We start from the raw sequence: 13,344 nt of genomic DNA, 5'->3' as shown, positions 1-13,344 counted from the left end.
TAGTTGTCAAAGGCCTATTATTGGTTCCATCCTAGAGCAACCTTCCAGCAAAGCATGGGCTACATAAGCCATGCACACAAGCTCTGTGATACAATATTCTGTAGTGCTCACTTGGAATATGACCACATAGTTTAATAGGAAGAGAATAATTTTCAATAAGGAAAGTGTGGATGGCACAGCACAGAGAATATTTTAAAGTCAATTTCTTATAAATAATATAAACAGTCTTAAAACAAGTATTTTATTTCACTTTCAGAATACTCACACTTGGAAATCTGGCTCAGTAAGATTTTATTATTGTAACGTACAAATCACCACTGAGTTTTCCCGTTTTTTATTTTCATTTTCTAAATGAAAGTTTTTTGATTACTCTCTTCCCTTTCACTACTCTGTATTGATTAGGAGTGTATGTGGGGCTTGCATTGATGTCTATTTATTAATATTCATAAGTTGTTTTAATAATGAACCATGTCCACAGCTATTGGAAAATATTGTGCAGACCCCAGAGTTCCCAAACATTGAGCTAGACATTAAGCTGGATGCATGCATTGTATGGGACTTTTGAAAGGTCTTCCTTGATGAGGATGGAGTGTGTTTCATGTACAAAAGGAGCAGGCACATGAATACTTGAGTGGCCAGAGAGAGACTATTGCCAAATTAGTGACTGGTTTTCCTAGCCTTCCTTTAAGATTCATATGGACATGTGAGTAAATGGGTGTTAACAAGATCTGAACGGAAAGATGAGTGTAACTTCAGGATCATTTTATTGGAAACAATACACTTGTCCTATACTTTTGTTTTACTTTTTCCCTCCATAGAAATATGGATATAAAATTGAGCCCTAACACAATGTAAATGAAGACAAAAACCCTTGGAGTTTGGAGAGAGAAAAGGTAAAGAAACCTGGCCTCGAATAAAGTCAGAAGTAGAACTATTCTTTTCGCTCAGCACTGTCCAACTCTGTAATGTTTTGTGGAAAAAAAATCCAAACCACTATACTTTTTGACTTTTTGTAATGGCAGTTTGGTTGATATGCCAATTAACAGAGAGTACAATTCTAAAAATCCTTTGGAAAACAGTTTGCATTTTTCTCCTAAAAATGAACCTGAATATAACCTATTAGAAAATCAGCACAAGGAGGCACATACCATAATATTTTTGGCAGTTTATTCATTTTTGTAAAACACAAACCAACATATCCATTAGCAATAAAGTTGTATAATGAAATAATGAATTACATAAAAATGCATCAACATTTTGCAGGATTTCATTTCTACAAATTCAGAAAGGAAGCATAAACTTAATATTAGGTTGGAATATATACAGATATGATATAATAGTTATATTTAAGAGGTATAACGTGCTGATCACAAAAATCAAAGTAAATTAGTGATTGGCACTAGAGTAGAGAGAGATGCACACGATGGAGAAGAGAACATGAAGAAGGATTCTAAAGAACAGTGATCTATTGATTAATGAGGTTGAGATAAAATAAGTGCTTTCTTTTTAACTACATTGTAAACTGTTTTAAACACATATTAAACACGTATTTTCATTCTCTTTTGTATATCATTAAATAATTTTCTATAAAAAATTTAACTTTTGTCATGTGTTATACAGCACACACACTACACTAATCTATTGTAGGATTCATATGAATATGACATATTTATGTGTATATGGCACAGATTTTACTGTGCCAGTTAGAAATGATAAATGATTCCATGAAGGAACAGACATTAAGTGGAAAAGTTCTGAAAAGGCAGTTTCATTACTTAAAAAATTCAATAGTCTAAAGCTTCAATTAACTTTGTATAAAATTAGTTTGAATCTTACAAAGAGGGCTCCTACTGCGAGTCACGGTGGTCTCTCCTGTAACACAGGTAGGGAAGTACCCAAGGGAATAAAAAAGGCACTGTGATTAGAGATTTCTTTTAACCTGGGGAAAAATGCAATTATAAAAAACCGTATTGAAAAGCTTTCCAAAACTCTGTGAAAGCTACAGCATTCTCTGAAAGCATGGAGAGATATTTTGCTTGCTTTTACTTAAAGTGCATGACAGTCAGAGTCTGATTCTGGGAGAGACCTGATTTTTGTTTGGCTCAGCAGGCAATTCAATTAAAGCACACTGTTTAATTTAAAAGGGACTGTTTATATACAGCGGTGGCCTTCTCTCATTTATGTGTATTAAACTGTAGTACTTATTTTTTACCTGTCTATTCAAAAAATACATCGTTTTTTAAGGAGCTACATTTTATTGTGTTTTATAAGATTTCCTTTTCTAAAAATGGCAACTTACTACAATTTACAAGACCGCATCAAAAATGTTGCTTCTTTTGTTCATAAGATTATCTCATTGGTCAGATTGTTTTATGATTTTCTATTATTATTCCAGCTCAAAATATTTCTACATGGAAGGTATAAGACAGTTTACAAAAGAAAAGACTGAAAAGAAGCAAATCAGTATTTACCTTATATCACTAATATCTCATTCAAAATAGCTGTTTAATTCTTACCCAATCCAGAGGAGAGTGATCACTGGTTACATTATGCTAATTCTTTTCTGGGAAAACATAAATTAATTAATTTGCCTGGATAACACCTGGAATCTAGATTAGACTAAAGTAATAGAAAAGCAAACATGAAATCTTGATAAAGTCCCACATTGATATTGTAAACAAGTGGGTAAAGTTAGATTATTTTTATTATTTCCAGGTTAAATAATTTTTTAGGTAGCATGTGAAAACTTGAGTTAAACAAGTTATTGAATGTGTTCTGTATCTTTCTGAAAAGGTAAAGTAATACATTTTTATAGATTTACACATAATATTGTACATTGAGTACAAAGACCATACAATTTCACCTCTATCTACTCATTCTCTGCTTGCCCTGTATATCCTAGGAAATGAATAAAGTTATTACAAATCAAATGACAGAAACCTCCAACATCACTAAAAATTAGGGAAGGTTATTATTCAACAGCCAGAAACATTGACTGAATTCATTATATATAATGCAGATGGGACAAGTTTGATGGAAGACACGAGTAATAGATTTGTAATTATCCCCTCTTAGAAGCAGTAATATCATTATATGGGAAAAAAGAAAATGCCATTAGAAATGAAATAATATCCATAACTTAGAAAGGGCTGGAAATGAGGTTATTTGAGGCCCTTTGAAATAACACAAGTAAACATAAAATCCACTGGAATACTATTTTACTACTAGGAATCAGCCACAATTGAAATACTGGAATTGGGAACATTTGGGGATTAAAGAATCCACAGAGTTGACTCCACCTACTTCTTTCAGGCCACTCTATCAAAGATACATTAATATAAATTTAGAGCAATTAGCAGAGCATTACACATTTTAGAGAAGAATTTCTAGAATTATCAAACTAAAAAATAATGAAAATTTTTAAAATGTCTACTCATCCCATTGATCTGTTTAGCATCAGGTCATCATTGTGTTTTATTTTTATAATTAAAGGAATTGTATACAAATAGCAAAGTAATAGAGCCAACAAGCTGAGACTGATGAGAAGTAACCAACAACAAAAACAAATAAAAAGAAAGGTAAGAATGTACAATTTCCTTCAAAATAACGTTTCCTTGGAAACCCAGAGTGAGATAAAAGAAGGTAAAATATTTTGCCTAGAAGAATTATTGGCATTACCTTGATCACATAAAGCCTCTATACATAGGTAATACTCAATTTTTTCCTCCATATGAAGAGAAATTATTTCATATGAATTTATTAACTTTGGTAGCAGAATTCTACTTTTTTCAATTCACCTACTCATCATGAGGGCTTACAAATGTGATAGGAGGAGAATTTCTATGTCCTCATTTGTCAAAGACCATGTCTTCATCAACCATGACTTATAAATAGAACATAATATCATCAGTTTCAGAAAAAAATAAAATAAAAAATAGCATATACTAATGATAATAATAACTCTTCACAAGGCCAAGCATGGTGGCTCATTTCTGTAATCCCATAACTTTGGGAGGCCAAGGCAGGAGGACAGCTTGAACCCCAGAGTTTAAGACCATCCCAGGTAACATAGGAGGACCCTATCTATACAAAATAAAAGACAATAATAATAATAACCCTAGCCGGGCGTGGTGGCATGAGTCTGTGGTCCTAGCTATTTGGGAGGTTGAGGTAGGAGGATTGTTTGGGCTCAGGAGGTCAAGGCTGCAGTGAGCTGTGATAGCACCACTGCAATCCAGCTTGGGTGACAGAGCAAGACCTTGTCTCAGAAAGAAATAAATAAAAATAAAAACAAAACAAACAAAAAAAACTCTTCACAAAACAGAACTCTGTGTGTATTTGATTGTCTTAAAATTTATCTACTGGAAACCTAAAGTAAACATCAAACTTAATATTGAAACGTAAGACTCAGAGGACCTGGGGCTTTCCCTAAGGATCAGCATCATATTGGATAGTGGAGGAATGAATAAACTAAGTAAGATATGTTCAATAACCATATACAATTCTGAAAGTTCTCTGCCCTAATTTTCACCCCATTACTGAATGTTCTCATAAAGTAGCACAAAGCAAGGTTTAGTAACTCTTTCCTCAGATATGAGTTACTAAGTAATTATGTAATATGTAAACCAACATGATAATCTTGCAAGAAGAAAACAGATATCTGAGGACCACAGCACCATAAAAAAGTAACAAACTAAACAATTAAATTTATATACAGGCAAAACTACAATTTTTAGAAAACATAATAAGTCTGCCCAGAAAAATAAGAGATGAGATTACAAACTTGCGTCAGGAACAGGCATTATGAGACATGGCCAATTTAAGTACTGTGTAAAAAATTTTAATCCCTCAAGTAAAGATCTCAGTAAATACCTTACAAAGAAATATGAATATGATCAACACATGAAGTTAATAAACTAGATGATAACATAAGGAAGCTATCAAAATGGTAGCATAAATTTGATGAGTCATCAAATAGAACATATAAAAAAGATCAAAATATTTTATGATATAATAAATAGAATGTTCAGGAATCAATCATAAAAATGACAAGCAAGGCAAATAAAGGCAAAACAAATGCACACATATTATAAATATTGGTTTTAAACTGAAGAATCTCAAAGAAAACATGACCATTTCATATCCACTAGATAAGAAAAAGTTCACTGATGAGAGAGGAATAATACTAACTTCAAATTTCTCCCTAGGTGACATTCAAAAGCAGGTAAATATATTAATAGTTTTTTAAATTGTTGAACATAATATTTCATATATAAGTAGAATTATAATTTGAGTATCTTGGCCAATTCAATAGGCTCTCCGAAACAAGTTTTAGGAAAGTTTATTATCCAATGATATTTTTTCAAAACATTCACAGAAATGCTTCAGCAAGAATATAAATAACTATAAGCAGAAAACTATAATATAGAAAATGATGGTGAGTAAATAACTCAGTAAATTTCTTATTTAAATAAGCAGTATCAAAAATAATGGTGATAGGCTTTAAGTGAACATTGGCTGTTGCCTGGCAAAACCATGTGAACTGGTGCTGGTGATGACCACAGGGAGAGGCTTCTCAGCCTTTGAAAAGGAGATAGAAGAGCAGGGAGGACTTTGTATTGTGGTTTGAGTGACAACTTAACTGCAGTAGAACAGAACATCAGACAAATTGCTAAGGTCTTTGACTCCAATTTCTGGCTCTCAGATAGTATCTCTGGACATGCCCAAGGCCTAGGGGGACACCTTGTCCTGAAGAGAAGGGCCTTGTGCAAGGCCCAGAGCAGTGCTGCCTTCAGGTCTGACACAGCACAGTCCTAGTGGTGGTGGCCATAGGGATACATGCATCACCACACCCTCAGTTCCAGGTGTCTCAGCACAGAGAGACTCTGTTTCAGAGAAAGAAATACAGAATGGCTAAACTTCACTTTAAACCTGGAGCAAAGGCCCTAAGTGAAAATAGCTAACCCTGTTTTTCTGCCCAAATGTTGCTTTTTTGGGGCTGCCATGTCCCTGTCCTGTGCCCATAAAAAGACTTCAGCTGGCAGAACAACACAAGCAGCTGACCAGCAGTGATACAAGTGTCTGAGCATCAAGAGACTATACATAGATGTGTCTAGCTTCAGATGGTGAGCCTTCAGGAAAGGATCACCTTCTTCCTGCACCATCCCCTTTCCAATTCCCCACCCTGCTGAGAGCCACCTTTATCACCCAGTGGAATTCTCCACATGCACTACTCTTCAATCCTTTGTTCCTGTGACCTTTTACTTCCTAGACACTGAACAAGAACCCAGGTGCCCAGAGGCCAGGGGCTTGGATGCTGCTGCAGGGCCCTCACAAAACCTGCTCCTGCCAGAGAGAAGCAACCAGCTGGTTTCCGTGTTCATTCCTTCTGGTTCCAGTGCTTGCTTGCATGCTCTGTTTCATGAGGAGTGGCCAGTGGCAGGCTGAGTGAAAGGAGCTACTCCAATTCCATCCCACAAAGGCGGTCAAGGGAACAATCCTGTCTCATCTGAGGGCTCATCCAGGATACAAAAAATTGTGAGTTAAAATGAGGAACTGTTGGATCTGTCTTTTTTCCAAGACCCTGCCACCTCTCTCTTTCCTTTAGGTAATAGGAATATGTTGGCTCTGTTTCCCTTCACAGGCGTCTAGCCAGTTTGAACTAGGGAAAGGATACAGTGATTAAAGGGAACCCATTCCTACAGAGCAAATGGCTATTTCCTCAGCTCCCCAAACCCCCACGTTATGCACTTTAAGTTGTTTTTCTTCTTTTCTAAGTGACAGAGTTCTCTTTGTACCTCAGCATTCTGCTTATGGTAGGGAAGCAACAGAGGGGCAACCCTTGCTGACTGATAACAGTAAATTTGGCAAAGCCTATCTGGGACTTAATCTAAATAAATCTATGCAGACCCTGAAACATCTTTTTTTCTTGTCTCAAACTCTATTCCAAGCTTCAGGTTGAGGCCCTAGAAAGGAAAACCATATCTGAGGGATCCAAAGCCAGGCAACAGGCATAGTGTAAATGGGCAAGCAAGTTCCTGCCAATTAAATCCCCATTTCACGAAAGGAGGCCACATTCTGTAGCATAAATGAGGCCCAGGTAGGGTGTACTTCAGCAAGAGTAGATATTCCCATCCCTAGACCCCCTGTTAACATGGGTGAAAGCCACTTTGGTTCCCATGGGTGGCACCTGCCAAGGTTGCTGGGACTTAGGAATAAGGATGAAAATAAAGGGAAGACACCTACTTTCTTTCTCCCTCACACTCCAACTTTTCACTGAAAAAAAAAAAAAAAAAAAAGAATGACGGATTCTGAATTCCTTATCTTTCAGAATAGGCAACCAACAAATTCTACTGCCTTCAGTTTATACTCAGAACCAGACCCTGGAACCAGATAGTACTTTAGAGGATCTCCTGAAGTTTGCAAGCCCACAAACCTGAGATTTCCTTAGGGTCACCTGTTGATTGCTACAGATATGGTAAGAACAGTTATATCTCTCATAAAGTTTAACCACTCCCATATAAGATTTAATTCTTTCACCAGGGTGAGACAGTTTGGGGTACAATGTTGTTAGTATATTTTACTTCTTATTTCTGTAATCACTGGCATGAGATTCTTTCCTTGTATAATACACGTGTTTGATCCATGCATATTTAACCTTTTAAAGCTTGTTGTTTGTCTCACCGAGAGGCCATCAAGGCTCCAAACGGGCAGGTAGCTGGAACCTGGGACAATGGCTCCCTTTTGCCAGGGACATTTGTGTAGACCTCAGGAGGAATCTGACTTCTATTTTCCCAAACAGTACTCCCTTTCAGCAGGAAGTTGCTGAGGTCAGTCACCATCCATATTCTAATGGCAGTTAAATGTGCTTCTTCAGAGGGGGAATATGATACAGAATCGGTGGGTTCCCAGCTAAACTCCACCCTTAAGCCTGGAGTGGCCTAAGTGAAAGTAGCTGACCCCATTTTTCTGTGGCTTTTTGACCTGAAACACCCCTATTCTTTGCCCATGAAAAGACTTCAGCTGGCAGAGCAACACAAATAGCTAACTGGCAGGAATACAAGCTGCTGAACATTGGAGATACAAACAGCTGAGTGTCAGACTATGGATAGACACAGCTAATTTCAGATAGTGTGGCTTCATGGAAGGATCACCTCCTTCCTGCACCATCCCCTTTCCAATTCCCCATTCTGCAGAGAGCCACTTTTATCACCCACGGGAATCTTTCCCATGCACTACTCTTGAATCCATTCATGTGACCTGATGCTTCCTGGATGCTGGACAAGAACATGGGTGCTGAGAGGGCAGGGGCTTGAATGCTGCTGTGGGGCTCACACAGAGCCTACTTCTGCCAGAGAGGAGTGACCAGCCAGTTCCAGCAGGCCTTTCCCTCCAGTTCCCATGCTTGCTTGCTTGCCCACATTGTTTCAGGAGCAGTGGCCAGCGACAGGCTGAGTGAAAAGAGCCACTTCAGCTCCTGCCCACAAAGGGTGTCAAGGGAAAAATCTTGTTTGAAAAGTAAGGCGGAAAACAACAGTCTCTTCCTGGTAATCCAGATAATTCTTCTGAATCTTATTCAAGACCATTAAAACTATACCTCTATCAGTCTGCAAAAAACATAGCCTTATTGGACTTGGACCCAAAGTCCTTTGTTTACCAGGGAAGTCTTCTCAAGAACGAAAGCACAAACAAGCTCAGACTGTGAAAACAATAGTAAATTCCTAAGTCTACAATACCAAACATTGAAGAACATCTGCAAGCATTAACACCATCCAGGGAAACATGATCCACCAAATGAACTAAACAAGGCATCAGGAACCAATCCCACAACAGAGATATTATGACCTTTCAGAATGAGAATTCAAAATACCTGTATTGAGGAAACTCAAAAGATAACACAGAGAGGGAATTCAGCATTCTATCAGAGATAAATCTAACAAGGAGATTGAAATAATTAAAAAGAACCAAGGAGAAATTCTAGAGCTGAAAAATTCAATTGACCTGCTGAAGAATGCCATCAGAGTTCTTTAATAGCAGAAGGGTTCATGCAGAAGAAATAATTAGTGAGCTTGAAGATAGGCTATTGGAACAATACACAGTCAGAGGAGACAAAAGAAAGAATTAAAAACAATGAAGCACACATACAAGACCTAGAAAGTAGCCTCAAAAGGGCAAATCTGAGTTATCAGCCTTAAAGAGGAGGTACAGAAAGATATAGGGGTAGAAAGTTAATTTAAAGGGATAATATCCAAGAACATTTCAAACGTAGAGACTGATACCAACATTCAATTACAATAAGGTTATAGAATATCAAGCAGATTTATCCCAAGGAATATTACATCAAGTCATTTAAAAATAAAACTCCCAAGGTCAAGGACAAGAGAAATGAAACAAATGACATACAATGGAGCTCCAATATGTCTGGCAACAGACTTTTTAGTGGAAAACTCACAGGGCAGGAGAGCATGGTACAGCATATTTAAAGGCTGAAGAAAAAAACACTCTTACCGTAGAATAGTATATCCAGCAAAAATATCTTTCAAACATGAAAGAGAGGTAAAGACCTTCCCAGACCAAAAAAAAAAAAAAAAAAAAAAAAAAGTGATTTCACCAATGCCAGATCTGTTTTACGAGAAAAGGATGTTAAGAAATAAGACAAAAATTATCTGAAGATAAAACACTCACTGGCAATAAGAAGCACACAGAGAAACAAAATAGTACAACACTATAATTATGGTGTGTAAACTATTCTTGACTTATGTAGGAACACTAAACAATAAAAAGTAATTACTACAACAACTTTTCAAGACATAGTAGAATGAGACATAAAGAGAAACCTCATGAAGTAAAACTGTGGGGGGATGAAGTTAACATATAAAGTTTCTATTGGTTTGTGTGTGTGTGTTTGTTAATGAGATGAGTGTTAAGTTGTCATTAGTTTAAAATATTGGTTTATAAGATAGAATTTAGAAGGCTCATGGTAACCTCAAATTGTATGAAAAACATGCAACAGACACACAAAAAAAATAAAAACAAGAGATTAAAGCATACCACCAGAGAAAGTCAATCACTTTCACTAAAAGGAAGACAGGAAGGAAGAAAAGAAGAAAGAGGACAATGCAAAACAGCCAGAAAACAAATAACAAAATGACAGAAGTCAATCCCTATCTATCCATAATAACATTGAACGTGAATGAACTAAATTTCCCAATCAAACAACACAGAGTGCCTGAATGGATGAAAAAACAAGACCTAATGATTTGTTGCCTACAAGAAATATACCTCACCTATAAACATACACATAGACTTAAAATGAAGGGATAAAAAAAATTTAGTTCATGCCAATGGAAACCAAATAAGAGCAGGAGTAACTATATTTATATCACACAAAATTGATTTCAAGACAAAACCTGTAAGAATAGACAAAGAAGGTCATTACATAATAATAAAGGGGTCAATTCAGCAAGACAATATAACAATTGTAAATCTATATGCACCCAACACTGGAACACCAGATATATAAAGAAATATTAATGATACTAAAGAGTGAGATAGACTTCAATACAAAAAAAAATAGCCAGAGAACAACCAACTTCCAGTATTGAAAGGAACTCCCAGGAGGAAAATAAACAATGAACCACTGGACTTAATCTGCATTATAGAATAAATATACCTAACAGATATTCGCAGAATATTTTATTCAATGGCTGCAGAATACATATTTTTCTCCTCCACACATAGATCATTCTTAAGGAAAGACATGTTAGGCTGCTAAACAAGTCTTAAAACCTTCAAGAAATTGAGATAATATCAGCATGTTCTCTGACCACAATGGAATAAAATTAGAAATCAATAAAAAGAGGAATTTTGGAAATTATACAAACACATGGGAATTAAACAATAAGTCCCTGCATGACCAGTGGCTCAACGAAAAAGTTAAGAAGAAAATTTTAAAGTTCTAGAAACAAATGATAATGAAAACATAATATATCAAAACCTGTGGGATACAGTGAAAGCAATACTAAGAAGGAAGTTTATAGCTATAAGTGCTTGCATAAAAAATAATAAAAACTTTACATAAATAACCTAATGGTGCATGTTATAGAACTAAAAGAACAACAACAAAGCAATCCCCAAATTAGTAGAAGAATAGAAATAATAAAGATAAGAGCATACATAAATCAATTTAAAATAAAAAAAAGATAAATGAAACAAACCTTGGTCTTTTAAAAAGTTAAAAAAAAATGGACAAATCCTTAGCCAGACTAAGAAATACCAAGAGAAGACCTAATTAAAAAATCAGAGATGAAAAATGAGACACTACAACTGATATCCCAGAAATTCAAAGGATCATTAGTGGCTACTATGATTAACTGTATGCCAATTAACTGGAAAATCTAGAAGAAATTGATAAATTCTGAGACACATACAATCTAACAAGATTGAACCATGAAGAAATCCAAAACCTGAACAGAACCATAACGAGTAACAAGATCTAAGCTGTAACAAAAATCTTCCAGTAAGGAAAAGCCTAGGACCCAATCATCACTACTGAAATCTACCAGAATAACAAATGCCAATTCTACCCAAACTGTTCCAAAAACTAGAGGAGAAAGGAATACTACTAAACTAATTATATGAGACCAGTATTATCCTGGTACCCAAACCAGAAACAGACACATCAAAAAAGAAAATTACAGGCCAATGTCTCTGCTGAATATTGATGCAAAAGTCCTCAAGAAAAATATTAACCAATTGAATTAAACAAGACATTAAAAAGATCATTCATCATGACCCAGTGGGATTTATCTCTGGGATAGAAGGATGGTTCAACATATGCAAATTGATTTATGTAATACATAATATCAACAAAATAAAGGAAAAAAGGTGCTAATTTTAATTGATGCTGAAAAAGCCTTTGATAAATTTCAACATCCCTTTATGATAAAAACCCTCTAAAAACTGGATATAGAAGGGACATACTTCAACATAACAAAAGCCATATAAAACAGACCCACAGCTACTATCCTACTGAATGGGGGAAAAGTTGTCCACTTTCACTACTGTTATTCAACATAATATTAGAAGTATTAGGTAGAGCAGTTACACAAAACAAAGAAATAAAAGGCGTTCAAATTGGAACAAACACAGTCTAATTACCTTTGTTTGCAGAAGATATGATCTTACATTTGAAAAAACATAAAGACTCCACCAAAAAACTATTAGAACTGATAAACAAATTCAGGAAAGCTTCAGGATACAAAATCAACATACAAAAATCAACTGCATTTCCATATGCCAAAAATGAACAATCTGAAAAAGAAATAAAAGAAGTAATCCTATGTACAATAGCCACACATAAAATAGAGAACACCAAAACAAAAAAAGGAAAGATATTCCATTTTCATGTGTTGGAATAACCTATATTGTTAAAATGTCCATACTACCCAAATCAATCTAAAGATTCAATGCAGTTCCTAGCAAAATACCAATGACATTATTTGCAGAAATAGAAAAAAAAAATTCTAAAATTTATATAAAATAACAAAAGGCTTAGAATAGCCAAAGATATCATGAGCAAAAATAACAAAACTGGAGGAATCACATTACCTGATGTCATATTATACTGTTGTGGGATTGTTAAGAATCAGAGAGACCGATGGGGTTCAGGAGGATATTTATTATTTAGGTGCACTGGCCCAGTGGGATTAACATCCAAAGGACTGAGCCCTGAACAAAGAGTTAAGTTACCTTTTAAGCATTTTGTGGGGCGGGGGGAGATCTATGCAGGGGGAAGCATATTACATAAGTGAGAAACAAAGACAGTTATTTAATTGAGACATGCATTACATCATTTCTTACTTTTCAAGGAAAAACATGTTTTACGACTTGAAACATGTTTAGGTATCTGTCTAGTGACCTTGAAGCTGCACAGCTAGAGAAACAGGGTCTTCACAATGCCTGGGAAAGGAGGAGAGATAAGGCTCACTAGCCACAGAAAAACAGGCAGTTAATTTGAAAAGGACCCCAGCTCTTTCTCTTTCTCAGGGGGAGTTGGGTTTTCTTACATACAACTGAGTTTCTGCTTACACATTCTTTAATTTCTTTTAATTCCTGTTCCAATACTACAGGGCTATAGTAACCAAAACAGTATGGTACTGCCGTAAAAACAGACACAGAGACCAATGGAACAGAATAGAGACCGTAGAATCACATTCATACACCTACAGTAAATTTATTTCCCACAGAGGTGTCAAGAACATACATTGGGGAAAAGACAGTGTCATCAACAAATGATGCGAGGAAAACTAGATATCCATATGGTAAAAGAATGAAACTATTCCT

The 13,344-nt window shown here is 35.7% G+C and overlaps 1 annotated feature.

The window, feature by feature from the left end:
* Positions 12,765–12,965: a silencer, noted in NCBI's record as "peak346 fragment used in MPRA reporter construct". NCBI's record gives its function as "represses an SCP1 promoter by STARR-seq MPRAs in K562 erythroleukemia cells {active_cell/tissue: K562}" and the evidence as "EXISTENCE:reporter gene assay evidence [ECO:0000049][PMID:32103011]".

The sequence above is a fragment of the Homo sapiens genome, chromosome 1 (assembly GCF_000001405.40).
Source record: "Homo sapiens chromosome 1, GRCh38.p14 Primary Assembly".
NCBI lineage: Eukaryota > Metazoa > Chordata > Mammalia > Primates > Hominidae > Homo > Homo sapiens.
Note: the sequence above shows the minus strand (reverse complement) of the source record. Positions and strands in the feature narration are given on the sequence as shown.